The 24,014-nt window shown below is 34.1% G+C and overlaps 1 long non-coding RNA gene across 1 annotated transcript in view, besides 1 other annotated feature; it reads left to right on the top strand.

Annotated features, from left to right (window-relative positions):
• LINC01515 (long intergenic non-protein coding RNA 1515) overlaps positions 1–24,014 on the top strand; it is a 195,117-nt gene that overhangs the window by 25,750 nt on the left and 145,353 nt on the right. The window contains exon 3 of the long non-coding RNA NR_120647.1: positions 18,462–18,587. This is a non-coding gene — a long non-coding RNA (long intergenic non-protein coding RNA 1515). The remainder of the gene's footprint in view (positions 1–18,461; positions 18,588–24,014) is intronic.
• Positions 17,732–18,931: an enhancer, noted in NCBI's record as "MED14-independent group 3 enhancer chr10:67374664-67375863 (GRCh37/hg19 assembly coordinates)". NCBI's record gives its function as "activates an origin of replication core promoter dependent on BRD2, BRD4, P300/CBP and CDK7 cofactors, and independent of MED14, by STARR-seq in HCT116 cells {active_cell/tissue: HCT116}" and the evidence as "EXISTENCE:reporter gene assay evidence [ECO:0000049][PMID:35650434]".

Consider the following 24,014-nt stretch of genomic DNA (forward strand, 5'->3'; position numbering starts at 1 on the left):
TTTGATTCATTGTATTTTGCTGTATTTTTCTAATTATTTATGGTAATAAGTATTCCCTTTTTATGAGAGCTTTACTGAAATATAACTTACATAAGAAAAAATCAACTCCTTTTAAGGGTACAATCCAAGATATAGAACATGTTCATTTCCCCAACATTTCACAGTGTCCTTTTGCAAACATTCCCCTGGCCCACTGTGGTCTGATCTCTGATTGCTTTTTGTTGCTACAGTTTTGCCTTTTCTAAAAATTCCGCATAAACGAAAGTTTTTTGTGTCTGGCTTCTTTTACCTAGCATGATATTTTCAAGATCATGTTGCTGTGTGTATCAGTAGTTCTTTCCTCTCTAATGCTGGGTTGAATTCCATTGTATAAATATTGCATAATTTGTTGCCTATTCAGCAGCCAAAGAACTTTTGGATTGTTTTATTTTCTTTGATCTTGTGAATAAAGCTTCCAGGAGCATTTCAATACACTTTTTTTTTCCTTTGGGGCAGAAAACTAGGAGCAGATTTCTTAACTTTGCGATAAGCACATATTTAATTTTATAAGAAATTGTCAAGCTATCTCCACAATGGCTATAGCATTTGGAATTTTGTTTTGTTTTACTTTTTACTTTGTTTTTTTAAATTTATTTTTTACTTTTAAGTTCAGGGATGCAAGTGCAGGTTTGTTACATAGGTAAGCTTCTGCCATGGGGGTTGTTGTACAGGTTATTGCCTCACCCAGGTATTAAGCCTAGTACCCACGAGTTGTTTTTCCTGATCCTCTCCCTCCTCTCATCCCCCACACTCTGAAAAGCCCCAGTGTGTGATGTTCCCCTCTATTTGTCCATGTGTTCTCATCATTTAGCTTTCACTTATAAGTGAGAACATGCAGTATTTGATTTTCTGTTCCTGTGTTAGTTAGCTAAGGATAATGGCCTCAAGCTCCATCCATGTCCCTGCAAAGGACATGATCTTGTCCTTTTTAATGGCTGCATAGTATTCCAAGGTGTATATGTACAACATTTTCCTTATCCTCTCTATCATTGATGAGCATTTAGGTTGATTTCGTGTCCTTGCTATTGTGAATAGTGCTGCAATGAACATACACATGTGTGTGTCTTTATAATAGAATAATTTATATTCCTTTGTGTATATAACCAGTAATGAGATTGCTGGATTGAATGGGATTTGTCTTTAGTTCTTTGAGGAATTGCCACACTGTCTTCTACAATGCTAAACTAATTTACACTTCCACCAACAGTGTATAAGTGTTCCTTTTTCTCCACAACCTTGCCAGCATTTGTTATTTTTTGACTTTTTAATAGTAACCATTCTGACTGGTGTTAGATGGTATCTCATTGTGGTTTTGATTTGCATTTCTGTAATGATCAATGATGTTGAGTTTTTTTTCATGTGATTGTTGGCCAAGTGTATTTCTTCTTTTGAAAACTCTCTGTTCATGTCCTTTGCCCACTCTTATTGTTTTTGTTTTGACAGGGTCTCACTCAGTCACCCAGGTTGGAATGCAGTGGCGTGATCTGGGCTCACTGCAGCCTCCACCTCCTGGGCTCAAGCAATCCTCAGCTTCCCAAGCAGCTGGGACCACAGGCACACACCACTATGCCCGGCTAAGTTTTTATATTTTTTTGGTAGAGATGGGGTTTCTCCAGGTTGCCCAGGCTGGTCTTGAACTCCTAAGTTCAAGTGATCTGCTCACCTCAGCCTCTCAAAGTGCTGGGATTACAGGCATGAATCACCGTGCCCAGCCTTTTGGCCCACTTTTTAATAGGTTGCTTTTTTTCTTTTAAATTTGTTAAAGTTCCTTATAGATGCTACATATTAGACCTTTGTTGAATGCACAGTTTGCAAAAATTTTCTCCCATTCTGTCAGTTGTCTGTATACTCTGTTGATGGTTTCTTTTGCTGTGCAGAAGCTCTTTAGTTTAGTTAGATCCCATTTGCTAATTTTTACTTTTGTTGCAATTACTTTTGGTGTCTTCCTCATAAAATCTTTGCCTGTGCTTATGTCCTGAATGGTATTGCCTAGGTTGTCTTCTATGTTTTTATAGCTTGGGATTTTACATTTAAGTCTTTCATCCATCTTGAGTTAATTTTTGTATATGGTATAAGGAAGGGGTTCAGTTTCAATCTTCTGCATATAGCTACCCAATTAGCCCAGTACCATTTATTGAATAGGGAATCTTTTTCTCACTGCTTGTTTTTGTCAGCTTTGTCGAAAATCAGATAGTTGTAGGTGTGTGGTCTTATTTCTGGGTTCCCTATTATGTTCCACTGGTCTATGTGTCTGTTTTTGTACCAGGACCATGCTGTCTTGGATACTGTAGCCCGGTAGTATAGTTTAAAATCAGGTAACATGATGTCTCCAGCTTTGCTCTTTTTGCTTAGGATTGCCTTGCTTTTCAGACTATTTTTTGGTTCCATATGAATTTTAAAATAGTTTTTTCTAGTTTGTAAAGATTGTCAATGGTACTTTAATAGGAATAACATTGACATTATAAGTTTCTTTGGGCAGAATGGCCATTTTAGTGATATTGATTCTTCTTATCTATGAGCACGGAATGTTTTTCTGTTTGTTTCTGCCATATCTGATTTCTTTGGGAAGTGGTTCTCCTTGTACAGATCTTTCACCTCCCTAGTCGGTTGTGTTCCTAGGCATGTTATTCTTTTCATGCCAATTGTAAATGTGATTGTATTCCTGATTTGGCTCTCAGCTTGAATATTATTGGTATATAGCTAATGCTAGCGATTTTTGCACATTGATTTTGTATCCTGAGACTTTGCTGAAGTTGCTTATCAGCTTAAGGAGCTTTTGGGCTGAGACACTGGATTTTTCTAGATATAGGATCATGTAATCTGCAAACAGTGATAGTTTGACTTCTTTTCTTCCTATTTGGATGCCATTTATTTTTTTCTCTTGACTGACTGCTCTTGCCAGACCTTCCAATTCTATGTTGGATAGGAGTGGTGAGAGAGGGCATCCTTTTCTTGTGCCACTTTTCAAGGGAAATGCTTCAAGCTTTTGCCCATTCAGTGTGATGCTGGCTGTGGTTTTGTCATATATAGCTCTTACTATTTTGAAGTTTGTTCCTTCAATACCTAATTTATTGAGAGTTTTTAAGATGGAATGACATTGAATTTTATCAAAAAGCCTTGTCTGCATCTATTGAGATAATCATGTGTGATATTTTCCTATTTGGCTAATCATTTTATCATTATACAGTGTCCCTCTTTGCCTTTTTTTACTGTTGTTGCTTTAAAATCTGTTTTTTCTAATATAAGAATAGCTACTCCTACTCACTTTTGGTTTCCATTTGCATGGAATGTCTTTTCCCACCTCTTTCCCTTAAGTTTATGTGAGTCCTTATGTATTAGGTGAGTCTCTTAAAGACAGCAGATACGTGGTTGGCGGATTTTCATTCATTCTGCTATTCTGTATCTTTTAAGTGGAGCATTCAGGCCATTTACATTCAATGTTAGTATTGAGATGTGAGGTACTGTTCTATTCATCATGTTAGCTGTTGCCTAAAAACTTTGTTTTTTCCATTGTGCTATTGTTTTACAGACCTCGTTAGATTTATGCTTTAAGGAGGTTCTGTTTCAGTGTATTTCAAGGTTTTGTTTCAAGATTTAGAATTCCTTTTAGCATTTCTTGTAATGCTGGTTTGGTAGTGCCGAATTCTCTCAGCATTTTTTGTCATCTCTCCTTCATTTATGAAGCTTAGTTTTTGCTGGATACAAAATTCTTGGCTGACAATTATTTTGTTTAAGAAGGCTAAAGATAGGACCTCAATCTCTTCTGGCTTGTAAGGTTTCTGCTGAGAAATCAGCTGTTAATCTGATAGGTTTTTCCTTATAGCTTACCTAATGCTTTTGTCTCACAGTTGTTAAGATTCTTTTCTTTGACTTTAGTAACCCAATGACTATGTGTCTACTAATGATCTTTTTGTAATGAATTTTACAGGAGTTCTTTGAGTTTGTTGTATTTAGATGTATACATCTCTAGCAAGGCCAGGAAATTTTCCTCAGTTATTCCTGCGAAAAAGTTTTCCAACTTTCAGATTTCTCTTCTTCCTCAGGAACACCAATTATTCTTTGTTTTGATAATTTAACATAATCCCAAATTTCTTGCAGGCTTTAGTCATTCTTTAAAATTCTTTTTTTTTTAATCTGGCAATTCAGATATTTCTTCTCAGTTTAGATCCATTGCTGGGGAGCTAGTGTGATCTTTTGGAGGTGTTATAGAACCCTGTTTTGTCACATAACCAGAATGGTTTTTCTGGTTCTTTTCCATTTGAGTAGACTATTTCTTAAAATTAGAACTACATTTTAATAGTAGGTCTGTTACTATTGATTGGCAAGCTATCTTGATGATATTCAAACTCTACCTGGGCATAGGTTTATGTCTTAATTCTCTATTCAGTTGCATGGGTTTATTTCTATATTCCTGTTTCACTATCACACTGCATTAATTAGTATACAGCTATAATAAATATAATATTGGGTAATGCAATCTTCTCCAATTGTTATTCCACTGCAGAATGTGCACCCTTGAAAATTTATGTTGAAACTTAGATCCTTTTGGGAAGTGATTAAATCATGAGGGTTCCCAAAACTATGAAAACCCTGGAAGACAACCTAGGCAATATCATACTGGACATAGCATGGGCAAACTGGTTTTTTGAGGTGGAATCTACTCCTGGTAAAGATATTGTAAACATGGATGAAATAACCAAAAACAACTCAGAATGTTATGTAAACTTAGTTGATAGAGTAGTTGCATGGTTTAAGAGTATTGACTGCAATTTTAAAAGTTTTCCTGTGGGTAAAATGCTATCAGACAACATCACATGCTACAGAGAAATATTTTATAAAAGGAATAGTCAAGATGCAGCAAACTTTACTTTTGTCTTATTTTAAGAAGCTATCACAGCCACCCAAACTTCGTCAACCAGCACCCTGATCAGTCAGCAGGCACCAGCATGGAGGAAAGACCTTCCACCAGCAAAAAGATTATGACTCCCTGAAGGCTCAGATGATTGTTAGCATTTTTAGTAATTAAGTATTTTTAAATTAAGATATGTACATTGTTCTTTTTAGACATTATGTTTTTGCTACTTAATAAACTACAGTGTAGTGTAAAGATAACTTCAATGCACTGAGAAACCAAAATTTTTGTGTGTCTCACTTTATTGCAATATTTGCTTTATTGTGATGGCCTAGAATGGAATGTGCAATTTCTCCAAGGTATGCCTGTATACTCAGAAGTGGGATTGCTGGACCCTATAATAGTTCTATTTTTAACAATTTAGGAAATGTTCATATGATTTTCTATAATGGCTGCACCAATTTACACTCTCATCAACAGTGTGCAGGTGTTCCCTTTTGTTCATATCATCATCAACTTTTTTTATCTTTAGACTTTCTTAAGTCTAAAGGTGTAAGGTTATATCTCATTGTGGTTTTGATTTGCGTTTCCCTGATGAGTTGTCTGTCAAGCATGTTTTCATATACCTGTTGGTCATGTGAATGTCTTCTTTGGAAAACTGTCTATCCAGGTCCTTTGCTCATGTTTTAATCTGGCTAAAATATTTATCCATTCTTAAGCATCCATCTCAAGTACACTTCTGCTGTAAAGGTCATCTCACTACCTAATATTACTCTACAACATATTTACCTCCATAACTGTATGTTTTCTATTTTGTCTTGTATATAAGTCTGTGTCAATGCTAGATAGACTCTTGAAGATAAGACTCATGGTCATACCCCTCAAAACTCTTTCTGAAAAAAGATGAGTAATAAGTCTTGTTATTTATCTTTGTATCTCACTTCCTTACACCTAGCATAACAAAGGGCCTCAGAAAATGTTGATTGATTTAAATGATATAATTCTACATATTGGAAGAAATTTCTATACCCTTGCAAAGAGAGCAAGAGAATGCATATAGCCTTAAGTTATAAATGACAACCAAGTGACTGGAGATTTTTGGAGTAAATGACCCACTAATCTTGGTTTCTTTTGAGCATATTTCATTTTCATTCTTTCCTTGGTGTTTACTTTTCAAACCATATCAAATGCCACATACTTAGGATGGAGTTGAGTTTTCTGTATTTGAATATTTTATTAGGCATCTTAAAGAATAAATTCAGTACAATGCCATGTCTCCCATTGGAATTGAGGTCTTTTGAGTAGGCAAATGGCTAATTTCATTTCTAACCATTGCTTTGTTGTGGTCTTTTTCTTTTCTAGAATTGAGATATCTGTCTATCTCAGTTTTAACTCACAAAATTTGCAACTTATGGGTAATTTATTAGGATAGATTTAGTTGTACAGCAACTAAATATTGAGTGTTTGGTTTGGGGACATTCTAATAGAGCTGGTCTATTATGGTGCTTTTTGATGAAGATATTAGACTTAATAAAGTTTCCTTCAGCTACATCTGTTAAGTTCCTTTTAACAGGAAAACCATTCATTAGTATTTTAAAGCTTTTATAGTTTTCTTTGTGTGTTTGGAAAGTGTCTGAAACATTCTAACACTAACAAAAAATTGAAGTTATGCAGTAATTCCAGGAATATTACAGTTTGTCTTGTTCCACGTGTACTATTTTTATCCTCCTTTCAACTAATCTTAAATGTGTTAAGCCCTTTTCCTTAATAAATTTTGATTTTTAAAGCAATCATATATGAATTATTATCATATTAAGACTTCCAGCTAGCCAAAAACAATGACTATCTAGGTCTCTATCTTCAATTATTTTCCCCACAAATATAGAACAATGAGGAGAAAAAAGTAAAACTACAGGAAAACCTCAGCATAATTTCAAGACAAGAAATGCCCAAATGTCAAATTATCTAAAAGTATAAAAGGAGAAAAAAATGCCAAGTTATGGCACATGAACTCTAGTGCTCCTACTCTATGAAGCAAAGGCAGGTAAGAAAACTGCATGGAATGGAGAAATATGCAGGAAACAACAGGGCCTAATTTTAATGTAAAACCACAGTCAGAAAGAATAATTGATCCTAAGTCTAAAAATACTATAGAAGTTTCAGGGAAGACCAGGAAATAGATAAAGGGAAAGGACTTACTAGTATATTTAATTTGAATAAAACTTTGTAGCTTCTGGAGGAGGAAAAAAATGAAAAAGGAGAATTAGAAGCAACTTTTGGCAATTAGGTGGTTAAGGGAAAAATTTATGGTGCTAAAGACAAAAAATAACTAAAAATTCAAGAGACATGACTTCTCTATCCACCATAAAAACTAACAAACAAAAAATTTAGTATATGTCTTGATTTTGCTGTGTTTACAGAGTAATGACTTTCCAAAAGAGACTAGACTAAAATAAAAATTTATTAAGCAACACTGAAGTAAGGCAGGAATCAATCAAGCTAAAAAAAATAAGATACAGACATAAAAAGTTTCAAAAATAAGGTAATAAAAATGGAAGACAATAAAGAATCACAGTTTTATTGAAAAAGAAAAGCAATAGAAAAAATACTTAAAACTTTAATATAATAAACTGTCAGAGTTAAAATATTTTACTCTACATATTTGAAAGGTTCATCAAGTACTTGGAAAAATAAAACCAAAATGAACAAAGAAATATAGTAAAAATATTAGTTTAATAAAATATTCGACATTATTTCCAGGCCAAAAAAAAAAGTCAAATAACTTCAAAAACAACAGAAAAAACTTATAATGGCAAAGGATTAATGAAAAACAATATGCACAATAAGACAGAAGTGGAAAGTATTTTTTAACTTAATAAAAGTAGATCTGAATAAAGTAATTTATATGCAATTATACTTTCCATCAAATATCAAGGTTATTGTGAGGAAAAAAAGCAGTTTTCAGAATACTTAGAGAATTCCATTTCATCCATGTACCCATCTTAAGGTATCTACTAAATAATTAGTTTCATCACCTATAAGATGACTGAGAAAAATCCAGCAATAGGATGGTGGTAAGTGTGTATATATGACTAATCAAAATTGGGACAAGGATGGAATTTATTTGTTCTGACCAATCTTACATAATTATAACAACAAAATAATGACAATAAGGAATTATAACTCATAAAATAAGTGTCAATTAGTCCATACTTACATAAATAATTGAATGAATATATAAATGAATAGATACAAGAATAAATAATCATAGCAAGAAATAGTTATTCCTCAAAGTAGACTTCCAATTCAGAAGTGTAGAAGAATTGATGGAATGAGAAAATCACCATCAGCCAAATACCACAGTAATAATATTCCAGGCAGAAATAATGAATGGAATCTAACATTAATGAGTACAGAAATATTGAAAACCAGGATATTTGCATCACCTTAAAATATCTCCACATAAAATATTTATTAAATACAAAGAAAAAAATAGTAGCATTATAATGAAGAATCACATAACTCCTGATACAATATACTTCAAAAGACACCACGTAGCTTCTTTGGTTATGTTTTTCTAAAAATGCATAACATTGGTTAAGCCATCAAACATCAAAATATCAAACTGAAATTGAAAGACATTCTACAAAATAATATGCCAGTTATTTTTAAAAGTATCAAGGCCATGAAAGATAAAACAAGACTGAGAAACTATAAAGGACTGAAAAAGACTAAGAAGTAATGATGATACAGTACATTGTAAGAGCCGGGATAGGATCTAAGTCCAACAGTATAACAGTAGTGGAACAACTGGCAAAATTCACATAACGTCCACAGGTTAGTTAATAGTATTCTATCAATGTTAATTTCCAAGTTTTGATAATTGTATATATCATGGTATGTAGTGTTTTAAAAGTAATGAACTGGCTGAAGAATATATGGGGATTCTGTATTATTTCAAAAATTTTCAGTAAATATAAATTATTTCAAAACAAGAAGTTCTAGATTTGCTATTTCCTAATGACTAATAATATTGAGCATCTTTACATATATTTATTGGACATTTGTATATCTTCTCCAGAGAATGTCTATATAAATCCTTTGCCCCATGTTAAAATAGGATTGTTTACCTTTTTATCTATATCCTAATAAGAAAGTTTTTTTCATTTGTTTGTTTTACTGTGGCAATACCATTGAAGAGCATTTCACTATTAGGTAATTTTCGCTTTTAAATTTTTCATTATAATATTTCCACTATGTAAATGTCATTGAATTTTGCACTGCAGGTAGATAAAATGTAGTTTTACCAACAAAATTCCTTGAAGAAGTTATGAAAATTGCTCTAAATTAACATACTGGCCCACTTGAAAAATAGGCACATGATTCAAAAAGTTGAAATACCAACAATAGTAGCAAATCTATGTAGGAGAACACTGCTTGGATATGTCTATGAAGATATCTAGAACTTGGGACCTTCTTTAAAGTTCTTCTGCAAAGCTAAAGTTCCCCTAAATGTTTGTATAGGGGATGGAAGGACCTAACCTGACCTATTCTCTCTTCTGGTCCTGAAAGACAAAAACTGGACCAAATCTATATGACTGTAATAGAGAAGAATGTTTCTGTGTCCCAGCAAAGTATCTAGAAAAGTAGACCAGAAGATAGCATGGTTACTTGTTTACCAAATCTTACTAATTGAAGTCATTCTTCCTTCCTTGTGAAGTTACTAAGGATGGTTAGGAGTTAGAACAAGCACATTCAAGAAGACATAGTGTATATTTTATCCATTAGCACCAACCTGAGAAGGAAAAGGGAATTTCTTACCTGTAACTAAACTGGTCATATATCCTGGTTTATAACTGTATGCCTTATATTATGTCAGATGATCCCTCTTTCTCTCAAAATTTGGACAATAAATAATATGGTTACACTACCCATATATTAATATAATAATAAATAAAATGTTACCATATGTTCTTCTGGATTTTTTTTTCTTCAAGTGGATCAGCCACTTTTCACTTTATCTGGAGCTTAGTGAGTTTGGATTAAAGTTAATCAGGGTAAATTATTAACCAATATGACAGAAAAGATTTTTGCTGAGAAAAACTATTTGCCTGAAAATAGGTGTTTTTCTTCTTTTCTCTCCACAACATAACATCTAGCCCGTAGTTTGTTCCCACATATCAGAAAGCATTGTTGGTTCCATCAACAGAATAGGACACTGAAAAATTTAGATAGTTAACGTATACATGAGAAACATTGGAGTGCAAGAAGGCTGAAGTAGACTTGGAATATTGGCCATAGCTAAGGTGACCCTAAAGTGCCAAGAAAGAGGAAACTCAACAACCACATTAGGAAAAACAGTCTATCTGGGATGCTTCTCATGCTGCCAGATGGTATTTGGTATAGGACACTCTTACTGACTCAGGGAATGTATCCTTTATATTTGCCCACCTACAAAGATTCATAGTCATTGTGGAGTTTACCTTTCCTTCCCTCCTTCCTTTCTCTTTCTTTCTTTCTTTCTTTCTTTCTTTCTTTCTTTCTTTCTTTCTTTCTTTCTTTTCTTTTTCTTTTCCTTCCTTCCTTTCTTTTTCTTTTTTCTCTTCCTTCCTTCTCTATGTCTCTCTCCCCCTCCCTCTCTCTCTTTCTCTCTTTCTTTTTTCTTTCTTTCCTCTCTCCTTTCCTTCCTTCCTTCCTTCTTCCCTCCCTCCCTCTCTCTCTTCTTTCTTTCTTTCTTTTTTTCTTTTTCTTTTCCTTCCTTCCTTCCTTTCTTCTTTCTTTCTCTTTCTTTTTCTCTTCCTTCCTTCCTTCCTTCCTTCTTCCTTCCTTCTTTCTCTATATCTCTCTCCCCCTCCCTCTCTCTCTTTCTCTCTTTCTTTTTTCTTTCTTTCCTCTCTCCTTTCCTTCCTTCCTTCCTTCCTTCCTTCCTTCCTTCCTTCTTCCCTCCCTCCCTCTCTTCTTTCTTTCTTCTTTCTTTCTTTCTTTCCTTTCTTCTTTCTTTCTTTCTTCTTTCCTTTTTCACTCTGCCTGGATGAACAGACTTTTGAAGGGCTTTTCCAAAAAAAACCAGTCAGCAGAACTGGAATAACTACCTATAACTACCTAATTCTTCAAATGCACAGACATCAATGTACAGCTACAAGGATCAAGAACAATCAAGGAAACATGCCATGACCAAAGGGATAGAATAACATGCCAGTGACCAGCATGAAAGAAATGAAGATATATGAACTGTTTGACAATCCATTATAACGTTTTAAGAAGGGTTAATGGACTTCAATAAAATTCAGAGAAACGATTTAACAGAATAAGGAAACAATAAGTGACCTGAATGAGAAATGTGGAAAACATCCTAAACCTGGAGAAAGATGTAAATATCTAGGTACAGGAAAGTCAAAGTTACCAAAACAGATTCAATCCAAATAAAACTAAACTGAGTCAAACTGACAAAAAACAAAGAGAGAATACTGAAAGCAACAAGATAAAAGAAGCAAATAACATATGTAGGAGTTCCAGCAATGCAGATGCTGCTAGAGGACATTATCTGAAGTGAATTAATGCAGAAACTGAAAACCAATTATCTTATGTTCTCACTTATAAGTGGGAGTTAAATTTTGAGTACATGTTGGCATAAAACAGGAATAGTAGACACTAGGGATTCCAAAAGGAGGAAGGGGAAAGGGCTGAAAAACCTCCTATTGGGAGGTTCAGTATCTGGGTGATAGGCTCAACAGAAGCCCAAACCTCAGCATCACACTATATACTCTTGTAACAATCCTGCACTTGTACCCAGGCTGTACAGCACAAAAAGAAATACGATCCACTTGGAAGAAAGAGAAGGAAGTGAACACAGAACTTTGCTTTAGACTCCAATAAAAGTTGAATTTAAAAAAATAAGCAAAGGACCTGAATAGAAATTTCTCAAAAGAAGATATACAATGAACAGTGAGTATATGAAAAAGTAGTCAATATTACTAATCACTTAAAAATTCAAATTGGAACCACAACACAGTAGCACCTCATATTTGTTAAAAAGGCTATTATCAAAAAGACAAAAGATGACAATGGCTCATGAAGATGTGGAGAAAAGGGAACCCATGTACACTATTGGTGGGGATGCAAATTAGTAAAACTATTATGAAAAATAGTTTGGAGTTTCCTCGAAAAATTAAAAAGTGAAAAAACCATTTGATCCTGAAATCTCACTACTCAATATATATACAAAGGAAATAAAATCAGTACATCACAGAGATATCTGCATTTCTCTGTTTATTGCAGCACTGTTGAAAATAACCGATATGGAATTAACCTGGGTTCATCAGCAGATGAGTGGATAAATAATATGTGGCTTGTCTAAAAAATTGAATACTGTTCAGTCATAAAATGCCACTACATGGGTAAAACTGGAGGACATTATTTAAGTGAAATAAGCCAGGTACAGAAAGACAAATATTGCCTAATCCCACTTCTACGTGGAATCTTCAAAAGTTGATCTCACAGAAGTACAGAGTAGGGCTAGGCACAGTGGCTCATGCCTGTAATCCCAGCACTTTGGGAAGCTGAAGCAGGAAGATCACTTGAGCCCAGGAGTTCAAGAACTGCCTGGGCAATATAGCAAGAAAAGAAGAAGAAAAGAGCAGGAGAATGAGAAGAAAATAGAGAGGAGAATAATAGTAGTTACCAGGGGGCTGTGCAAGTTGTGAAGGGGTTGGGAAGATGTTGGTTGGTCGGTAGATGGGAGGAATATATTCAAGAGATTCATTGTATAGCATGGTGACTAGAATTAATAATGATAAATTGTATTCCTAAAAATGCTAAGAGAGTGGATATTAAATTTGCTTACCATAAAAATGATGACTATGTTAGGTAATTTATATATTAATTAGCCAGATTTAACCATTCCACAATCTGTATGTACTTCAAGACATCATGTTTGCATGATGAATATATACAATTTTATCTATCAATTGAAAATATAATTTTAAAAAGAAAATGTTCTTCAAAAGGCCCCAAATATTATAGAAACTAAAGCAGATTTGTGGCTTTCAAAAGCTTGAGAGGGTATGTGTCTGGGTTGGGACATAGGGAGTAACTGGTAATGGGTATGAGATTTTATCTGGCGTGTTCTAAAATAGATTGTAGTGATGGTTATAAATCTCTGTGAATACACTAAAAGTCCTTGAACTATACTTTTTAAATGAGAAAATGTTATGAGATATAAATTATACCTCAATAAAGCTATTAAGAATATATCATGGCTGGGCGCAATGGCTCACACCTGTAATCCCAGCACTTTGGGAGGATGAGATGGGCCGATCATGAGGTCAGGAGATAGAGAACATCCTGGCCAACATGGTGAAACCCTGTCTCTACTAAAAATACAAAAATTAGCTGGGTGTGGCAGCGCGTGCCTGTAATCCCAGCTACTTGGGAGGCAAGGGCAGGAGAATCGTTTGAACCCGGGAGGCAGAGGTTGCAGTGAGCTGAGATTGTGCCACTGCACTCCAGCCTAGCGACAGAGCTAGACCTCTGTCTCAAAAAGAAAAAAATAATAATATATCATAACACACATATTGCGATGTTGCTATTAAACATAATTTGCACCAGTACCATTGCATAGAATCATAACCATGCCTAAACTGTAAAACAGTGTATTATATATAATTTATAAGCATTCATGTGATTAAAAAAACGTAAAAAATTGTAAACTTTATGTAGGTTTTAAAAGTCATGGTGGCATACAATGGATGTGTAACAATTCTTTGCTACCATTTAGGTGAATATTTCAGTTGATTACACCTTTGTGCTTGGTGATTTTAGTAATTTTTCTCAAGAAATAGAACCCATTCAACATTGAATATACACAGCTAGCCTCTAATACATAGATTAGCCATTCATTTTGTATCTTTGGTTTCATTGTAGGTAATTTCCTGTCTATATGAGTGTAGAAAATTAACACTCAATTTTAATCCTGTTGCAAACTTCAAATCATGGTGGAAGGTGGAATTTTTAAGGGAGCATATCCATATTAAAATGTATCAACACTGTAAAATAGTCTGAGTTGAATTGTGGCTCAGCAGGATTACCAGACTTAAAATTTGTCAATTTATATTTCCTCTGCTAAAAATGTCAATGTTAAGTTTGTAAAATTTGAGAGTAGAACAATAAGGGGTAATGTTATATGTTGTAAGTGCCTTCTGAAAAAATACATACTCTTCTTTTCACCTTTACCATGTAGTCTGTGATTAGCATATCTATCTATAATAATCAGAGCCATTTGTTTCAAAGGCAACAATGTTGACTGTGGTGAACATATGCCAGTCTGCAGAGATATTAGTTATACTCCATCCATATAGTGTGTAAGATAATACATAATTATTGAGGAACCATTTGGATGAAGAAATAAGTTGCTTGAAGAAAATAGTCATAAAATTCACTTCTAAATTATAAAATAATAATTGAAGGCTGGCCCTTGCATTTGAAAATATTAATATGTTTAAGTCAGCTACGTGCCAGATAAAAATATACCACAGGCCTCCAGAAAAACTCAGCAAGTATTTAGAAAATGGAAGCAACAGCTTACAAGATATCATTTTAATGGGTTTATAAAAGCTCATGTCTCTAAGGGACTTTTTTTGCTCAAGAAAATGTCATGGAGATGTATGTCTCAGACAGTGTTTATGAACAGTATAGTTATTCATAGTTTTCTTTACACAATGCCTATGGTCTGTGTGTCAAACCGCCTGCATGCATTTACGATGGCTTCCTGCCATATAAAATCTGGCTGACTTAATCTCTGTGAACTTGTGTTATGCATAGAGCTTTCATACACCAACTCACTCAGAAGTATCCTTGATGTAAAATAATTTTTATGTAGTTATTCAATTAAAGCTTGTAAGAAGAAAATGTAGATGCTTTTAAATCAGGCATAGGTTGAAAGTAAGCTCATATCTGTAATTAACTCATTAAGCTGCTTGTCCTATTGATAGAATTGAGAAATTGAATTATGAAAAATTTTTTTAAATATAAAATATGTTTATTTGAGTGGAAATGTGTTGATAATTCACCTGAAGTAAAACAGAAAATAAGAGACAGAAACAGCTTGAACCCGGGAGGTGGAGGTTGCAATAAGCCAAGATCAGGCCACTGCACTCCACCCTGGGAGATAGAGCAAGACTCCCTCTCAAAAAAAAAAAAAAAGAGAGACAAACAATGCAGCAGAGAAAACAGTCTAGCATTTTTATGGCTAGGATGTACTTCCAGAGAGTATTATTTGAATAACTTTTCTCCCTGACATTTACAATAAAATAATTTAGCCAAGTAACCTCATTGTTAAGGGGTAGAACCCCTTGGAATCTTAAACAAATTAAATTTTGATACTTCTAACATTTCTTAGACATATAAAAATTTAATATTTATTAGATTTATTTAAATTTCTTCTCATTTTTGCCATCATTAACATTGTAATATATCCTACCTGATTACCATAGTTGTATAGCTTAATACAGACATGTAAAGTCATTGTCACAAAGCCTAACACAGTGAGCTCTGTCTAAACAGTTTTATGTTAATTACTAATGAAATTCACACCTAAGAAAGGCATTTTTTTCAGAAACGAGTTTTGCCTTTGCGTCCTTTCATTTCTCTTATCAGTTTTCTCTCTTCTCTTCCCTACCCCTCAATCAATTTCTCTTGACGATTTCACACTCATTTCAAGATCTCATTGTTAGTCCCCTTTCATCCAGTAAGATTCTTTCCTAAGAAGCTTTCTCATATTGAATATGTCTTATAAATATATATTACATAAAGTACAATGCCTGATGGTGCCTCATCATTCTTACATTATTTTAACAACTCAAGATTTTTGAATTAGAAGACATATCCTTCCATTCACTTTTACAACTTTCATGTAATTATACTTGTCAGAGATTTAACACAGTTGACTACCCATTTCTTCCTATTACACACCATTTTTTTTTTATCTTCACTGGTCACTCCTCTTTAGTCCCCATAGTTTGTTCTCCCTACTTGAGTAAATGTTTAAGTGATGGACTTCTTCAGGTCCTGGTGCTGGATCCTTCTCTATTCTCTTTCTTTAGTCCCTTCTAGGAACTTCTATTTCCAAACCAAAATTTCTAGCCTATCCTAGATAACCCTGAACTCAAGCCTTCCATTGCAAATTTAATATAACTAAAATAAAAAAAATTATTCCTGCAAACTTCCCCTTGTTCAGTTGTCACATCTTTGCCTATAGAACATTTTTAAAATATTACCTTAAAACTAAAATTTTAAAAAGTTAGAATTTTTAAAATGATAACTTTCACCCAAATTCTTGCTAATGAAGTATCTTGACATAATCCCTGCTTCCCTCTTTTTCATTAACTCTTATAAATGTACCTAGACAATCCATTACTGATTTTCTAACTTAATATGTTGAATTATGATAACTGATTTAATCCACTTCAAATTTCTTTGACTTCATTGTTTTCCTTTCATACATTACTTATAGCTAGGGATAACCATATAATTCATATGTGAAAAAAGAGACTTAACCACAAGTCAACTGACTCATACTGACATACTTCTCATTTAAATTAAGTAATGTGGGTGTACTAAATAAAAATTGTTATTATGTAATGGTTAGGTTAGCTATTATATTGAAATCAAACAATTTCATGATCTAAGATATCTATTATTATTCTTATGATTCTCAGTACTATTTCTTCTTTAGTAATACTTCTGTTTAATATTTTCTTAATAGTGTAAAAATCTCAGTTAAATTGCTGCTAACAGTTTACTTTTTTTGGGGAAATGAAGTGATACCCAGATAAATACATTTAAAAGATACAGTTGAAAGGAAAGAAAATCATTTTAAAGGAATAGCCTTCAATGCAATAAAGGTAAATTCAGTTATAGCTAGCATTATTTCTAATATTGTACCATATGGAATCTATTACTCTCAAATACACATATATTTAAAAAGTTATTGATTATCTGTTATGTTCCAAGCACTATTCCTGGCACTTGGGATGTAGCCATAACAAAATACAGAAAAAGTCACTGCCTTTATGGAACTTATATTCTAGAGAATGAGAGAGAAAACACTTTAGTATGTAATATGAAAAGTGGTGATAAGTGAGATGAAGAAGAATGCAAAATCAGGAGATGGAGAGTGATGGTCCAGTCTGAGTGAGTAGTATTTCGTATTCCACACAGAACAAACAAGTAAGAAGTCCTAAAGTTGGAGCATGTTCTGTGTATTTAAAAAACAAAACAAGGAGGTTGATATAGGTAATAAAAAGTATTTTGTAGTCAGAGTAAAAGGACATGAGTTTAGAGAGATAAGAGAGGATCTAGCTCATGTAGTGCCTTGAAGGCCATGGTAACAACTTTGTATTTTAGCCTTAATAAGATGGAAATGCACTGAAGGGTTTTGAGCCTAGAAGTGATGTGACATAATTCAGGGAATTACTCTGAAAGGGAAACCTATAGAAATAATTTCTCTATGGAAGATAGAGACCCTTTAAATACTGGCAGGATAGAGCAAAGGGATTTCTCAGTCAACAATATTGAGTCTTTGTAATACAGTGGTCCTCTATGTAATCTCAGGAAAACTCCAGAATATACAAATATGAGGAAAAGAATCTATTTTACTATAAGTAAAAGTGACAATTATTATCAATACTGTTAGTAACCTGACTTCTTTAGCTTTTGTAATTTCAGTGACCATACAATTGCAACATCTTACCTATATAATGAGTGATTAATCAGTGAGTCTTTGTGTGTGTGTGTTTGTTATGCTACAATAATAATTAGCCTCATATTTTCATTGGCTTATAAAATAGCAAAGTTTATTTCTTACCTATATGGCAGGTCAGATTCTGTAGATTGATTACAGGTCAGATTTGCTCAAATCAAGCAGCCTAGATATGATACATGCTGATCATATAGCATAAGTAAAGTGAAAGGCAAATTATAGAAACATCATGGGTCTTATTACTGCCACTTGGATATTGTGTGTGTTAAAAATAGATAATCAGTACTGTGAAGAAAAGTCAGCACAGAGACAAAGAATCTCTCAGCAAGGCAACCTTTACTTTCTGCAGAAAGGGTGCTGCTCACAGATGCAACAATGGCGAGAGCACACTTGAACAAAGGGAAAGCAGACATATTTATCCCTTACGCATTTGGTTTGTCTTTACTGCTGTGTCCTGCCTCCATTGGCTGGAGCTGGACCTCACAGTCTTAAACTGATACCTGATTTGCTAATAACCTAAAAGTTTTCTAAATAGGTAAGTGCAAGGGAGAACCAAGAAGGAGAGAAAATTGCTTATGAAAGGTTTAAGGAAGCAATAACATTTCCAAGTAAGGAAGAGGCATAAGCTATGAGCTAAGACTTGCCTGGGCCTGTCCAGACATGCCTGGGTAAGACAAAGCAACTAACTGGGCTAAAGTGTAAGAACTAATAGTTGATAGGAGGCTTTAGAGTAAGAAGCTATTATTTCTAGTGTCTATTATTTTATTTTTAAACCAAGACGAGCTTTGAAGGGAACTTTTTTACTTTCTACAGTGTGTGACACATGTGCTCATGGATTATTGTCCGAAGCAAGACATGTGACCAAGCCTAACATCAACTGGGTGAAGAGCTATATGTTCCTTTCTCAAGAGGCACTACAAGTGACATGCCACTGGGCAGGTAAGATCCTCTCAAATGAAGGGACTGTGAATATTTGACTAATAATACAAATATTTACTGGATATTTTACAGTGATATTTACAAATATCACTGGCTAACTTTTCCCAGCTTGATATCCTGAAAGAGGCACAGTTTCAGTAGTAAATGGTAAATTTACCTTGATTGCACTGAAGGCTATTTCTTTAAAACTATTTTCTTTCCTTTTGACTATTCCATGTATCCTTTCAGAAGTAAACATTGTTTTTACCCCTTTAAAAAGTCTACTTATACCATCTACTTAATTTGGAATTTATCTAACATTGCCAGTTTGATATAGATACAGAAATTTAATGAGAAAATGCAGTTCTATATTTAGAATATGGATTCTTCAAGATGTTTCTGACACACATTTGTTTTCATTGAAACATTAAACAATTATTTAGCTAACATCTGAGGAGCACATTGAATTTTGTACAGTTCAACTTTTTTAAAATGAAAGAAATAGTGTTTCTTGTAGAAGGGAGGAATGGAGATTAGCACCAAAGGAAAATTTGACTCATTCTTTGTCTCATTTGGTCTTGAAGGTTAGAGTCTGAATAAGAGAAACTATGTCCAGGAAGTGTATCTTATGAATAAGCAACTAATACATCACATTTTCATGGAAATTATTTTTAAATAATCAGAGTTAGTAAATTCAGTTTTTGTCTGTTTTTTTTTTTTTTTTTTAACCCTAAGGCAAGCTCACAGGCCATACTTAAAGTTGTAAATATAAGCCTTAAAGAGTAAATTTCTAGGCAGAGCATGGCAAGGTAGATGAATGGATTCCATTAATGTCTGTGGAACCAACGGAGTTAAATCCTTTTTTCATTTGTCTCAAAAACGAAGCCCTAAGCAAGCTTTGCAAATGGCAAGAGTAATAACAGTTGAGTCATGAACCTAAGGCTCTTAGTGTTAATGCTCTAATTCATTAAACCAACTGTTTTCCTGATGGAAGTCATTTTCTAAATGGTTTCTAAGCCAAAATGCCTGGCATAATTAAAATTTAAATTTTGGTTATTTTCTTCACTCTCCCCCATTTTTTAAATTCTTTTATTTATTTATTTATTTTTTATTATTATTATACTTTACGTTTTAGGGTACATATGCACAATGTGCAGGTTAGTTACATATGTATACATGTGCCATGCTGGTGTCCTGCACCCATTAACTCATCATTTAGCATTGGGTATATCTCCTAATGCTATCCCTCCCCACTCCCCCAACCCCACAACAGTCCCCAGAGTGTGATGTTTCCCCCCAGTGTCCATGTGATCTCATTGTTCAATTCCCACCTATGAGTGAGAATATGCGGTGTTTGGTTTTTTGTTCTTGCGATAGTTTACTGAGAATGATGATTTTCAATTTCATCCATGTCCCTACAAAGGACATGAACTCATCATTTTTTATGGCTGCATAGTATTCCATGGTGTATATGTGCCACATTTTCTTAGTCTAGTCTATCATTGTTGGACATTTGGGTTGGTCCCAAGTCTTTGCTATTGTGAATAGTGCCGCAATAAACATACATGTGCATGTGTCTTTATAGCAGCATGATTTATAGTCCTTTGGGTATATACCCAGTAATGGGATGGCTGGGTCAAATGGTATTTCTAGTTCTAGATCCCTGAGGAATCACCACACTGACTTCCACAATGGTTGGAACTAGTTTACAGTCCCACCAACAGTGTAAAAGTGTTCCTATTTCTCCACATCCTCTCCAGCACCTGTTGTTTCCTGACTTTTTAATGATCGCCATTCTAACTGGTGTGAGATGGTATCTCATTGTGGTTTTGATTTGCATTTCTCTGATGGCCAGTGATGATGAGCATTTTTTCATGTGTATTTTGGCTGCATAAATGCCTTCTTTTGAGAAGTGTCTGTTCATGTCCTTCGCCCACTTTTTGATGGGGTGGTTTGTTTTTTTCTTGTAAATTTGTTTGAGTTCGTTGTAGATTCTGAATATTAGCCCTTTGTCAGATGAGTAGGTTGCGAAAATTTTCTCCCATTTTGTAGGTTGCCTGTTCACTCTGATGGTAGTTTTTTTTGCTGTGCAGAAGCTCTTTAGTTTAATTAGATCCCATTTGTCAATTTTGGCTTTTGTTGCCATTGCTTTTGGTGTTTTAGACATGAAGTCCTTGCCCATGCCTATGTCCTGAATGGTAATGCCTAGGTTTTCTTCTAGGGTTTTTATGGTTTTAGGTCTAACGTTTAAGTCTTTAATCCATCTTGGATTAATTTTTGTATAAGGTGTAAGGAAGGGATCCAGTTACAGCTTTCTACATATGGCTAGCCAGTTTTCCCAACACCATTTATTAAATACTTTGTATCAAATACAACTCTTCAAAATGTATGACAATTTTCTTATTTGATAATTTTAATTTCATGATTTACAAAATTAAGCTCACTAAATATGAAGAAAATTCACAACTGAATGTATTCTAAATCCTAGGGAAACATTCCCTAAATTGAGTCATTTAATAGTTCTGGAACAGGGATCAGCAAATTTTGGCCTGCAACCAATTTTTTAAAATAACGTTTGTTTACATATTACTATAGCTGCTATTTTTGTGCTACCATGGCAGAGTTGAAGGAAAGGAAAAGAAAGGAAAGCAAATGCTTCCTTCTCCATAGTACTCAGATGCCTGCCAAGGTGCTGGAGCTATGTGACATAGAAAGAATTTAGTAGTTGTTTTTTTTTTTTCTCCTCAGATTCCTACTATCCTATAAAATTGGAACTTTAGTCTTTTTAATGGAAAGATGATTTCATTCTTCCATTCATTTTGATAGGTTTGTCCCAATAACAGGAATATGATTTAAGTCAGCTATAACTGTGTCCACAGTTTTCTTTGTTAATATCACAAATCTCTTGTTTTAGAACATAGGATGAGACAAGACAAGATCTTTTATATGGCTGGTTTGGAAAGTGTCTGCTATGGAGACCCAAATTTTCCCACATTTAAGTACAGAGGTGAATTTGGTGGGGCAGGGGTGGAGTCGGGGGTGGATAGTATCAAACCTAACTTTGACCTTCAGTTCAAACCAAGTTCTTCAATAGACTTCTTCTAGTAATATACACAGAAACTGGTATTTGGATTCCTATTTTTTTTTTTCTAAATCACCCAATTGACTGAGAATTTGGAGATAGGGGAACAGAATTAATATTATGCCCTAACTCCAGCCCCAACCCTCTAACTTTAGCACTCCTGGGGCTGACCAGGAATTTCCCCTGGCCAGGAAAGAAACACATTTACCACCAAATCCAATACGTCAAGTGGACAAAAATTTGTAAATTGAGAGGAGAAGTACTTCTCTCGCTTTAGCACACACTGTTTAGCCCATAAAGTAGAATCATTTTCTTTGTGGAAGCATAGAGAGAACATCTCCCTTCTCTTCACATCTAGCCCAAAGCTTGGTCCCTTCAGACCCTCTTGGCCTTGAGGGCACACTGTGATTGACAAGTGGGAAGAAAGTCAGAATTCCTTTTGTGGCTGCAATAGAAAGATATTCTTCTGAAAAATGAATTCCACTATTTATATGTGAATATAGAGAAATTCAGGGCTAGCTTCATGGATACATGACCTGTGCACTTGTACAGAGTCCCATGCTTAGAAGAGTACAATGTTTGGTTTAATATTCTGCTATCCCTGTCTCAAAATAGGCCCAATAAATTAGGTAGCTATCCTGGGTAGGGTATTAGAGTCACATTCTCTTGTTAAGTTCAACCAGAAATAATGTCATATTTTGATGTTTATGTTTTCCCATGTATACTTCTTAATTGCTGCATTTCTCAGTTGGGAAAAAAAATTGGTGTAATATTGCCCACAAAGAATCTTCATTTAAAGTTGGTCAAATTATCATTTATGTTTTCCCCACACAGGATGGGTTACACCCAGAAATCTCACATTTAGTACTTTGCTTAAGCAGATTATTAAATGTCTGTCCATGAATAACTTCTCATAGACTTGCACAACCACAACACATCTTTAGAAGTAAAACCCCAATTTATGTGTGAATAATGATTTGATCACAAATCCAAGTGTAACAATATTTGGACTGAGAATATTGGTGGCACATAATAGTTACTAAATACATCAATTTATTTACATTAAATAAATTAGTTTCACAAAAGACACGATCTAAAATTCTATTTTCATGTAGGAGGCAGTTTGTAAAAAAATATATTATTTGGCTGCTATTAAGAATAACTAATATTATTCTGTAATTATAATTTTAACATGCACCTTTGTTAATAAAACAGCTACCTGAAATGGATATTTTAACTGCCGTATCTGCTTATTCTGGCCTTAAATACTATTTTGGATTAACTAATTCATAAATTTTTAAATTCCTAATCAAGTTGCTAATCACAAAATGCATTTATTTTCAGTAAATTCACAAATTAAGCAGAAAAAAGTATAAACCTAATAAATTGAACTTTTAAATAGTAGTGATTTTTTTCTATCTTCCATTTTTGTTTCATTTTGTTTACAATGACTGAAATTATTTGCTATTTAAATACCTGCATTAGTTAAAGTTAAGATGTTGTAGTAAGGATACTCCAAAATATAGTGGCTTAAATAAAACATTAATACAGTTCTCTCTCATGAGACAGAGCTGAGTGGTGCAAAACAGAACAGCTCTGCTCTATAACACCATTCGAAGACCTGTGTTTCTTTTATTTTCTTACTATGCCGTTTCATAGAGTTGTCCTTGTCTCAACGGTTGAAGCTAGCCACCGCTATATCCAGTCTGCTAGTGGGAAGAAGAAAAGAGGAAGCTTAAGGCAAAAGGCTTCATTTTATTTATTTATTTATTTATTTATTTACTTATTTATTTATTTATTGAGACAGGGTCTTGCTCTGTCACTCAGGCTGGAATGCAGTGGCATAATCATAGTTAACTGCATCTCCAAAGTCCTGGGTGCAAGCAATTTTTCTGTCAGCCCCCTGAGTAGCTGGGACTACAAGTGCACACCTCTATGCCTGGCTAAGAGGTTTCATTTTTAAACAGGTGACCTACAAATCACATGCCTGACTTTTACTCAAATATCATTTTTCCAAACTTAGTCATGAGGCCAAGGCTGTGAGTAAAGTTGGCAGCCATGATCCATGCACCTAACTAAAAGTCAGCAACCAAGAGCGAGAGGGAGAGAGAGAAGGAAGAAAAACCATACTGTGGTTACAATTAATGCTATAATATCTCAAGTGTTTAAGCTGTTGTAACTGACACATAATTCTAATAAGGTCCAAAAGATATGAAGGATTTAGTGTGTACAGCCTCTTAATCCTTGGCTAAACGGAACTAAGTTAAATTAAAAGGTTGGAATTACTATATTCCTTATTTCACTTGTAAATAGCAACATAAAGTACTATTAATAAATACTAGAAACATTTCAAATATGGAATATTA

This window comes from Homo sapiens, chromosome 10, assembly GCF_000001405.40.
Source record: "Homo sapiens chromosome 10, GRCh38.p14 Primary Assembly".
NCBI lineage: Eukaryota > Metazoa > Chordata > Mammalia > Primates > Hominidae > Homo > Homo sapiens.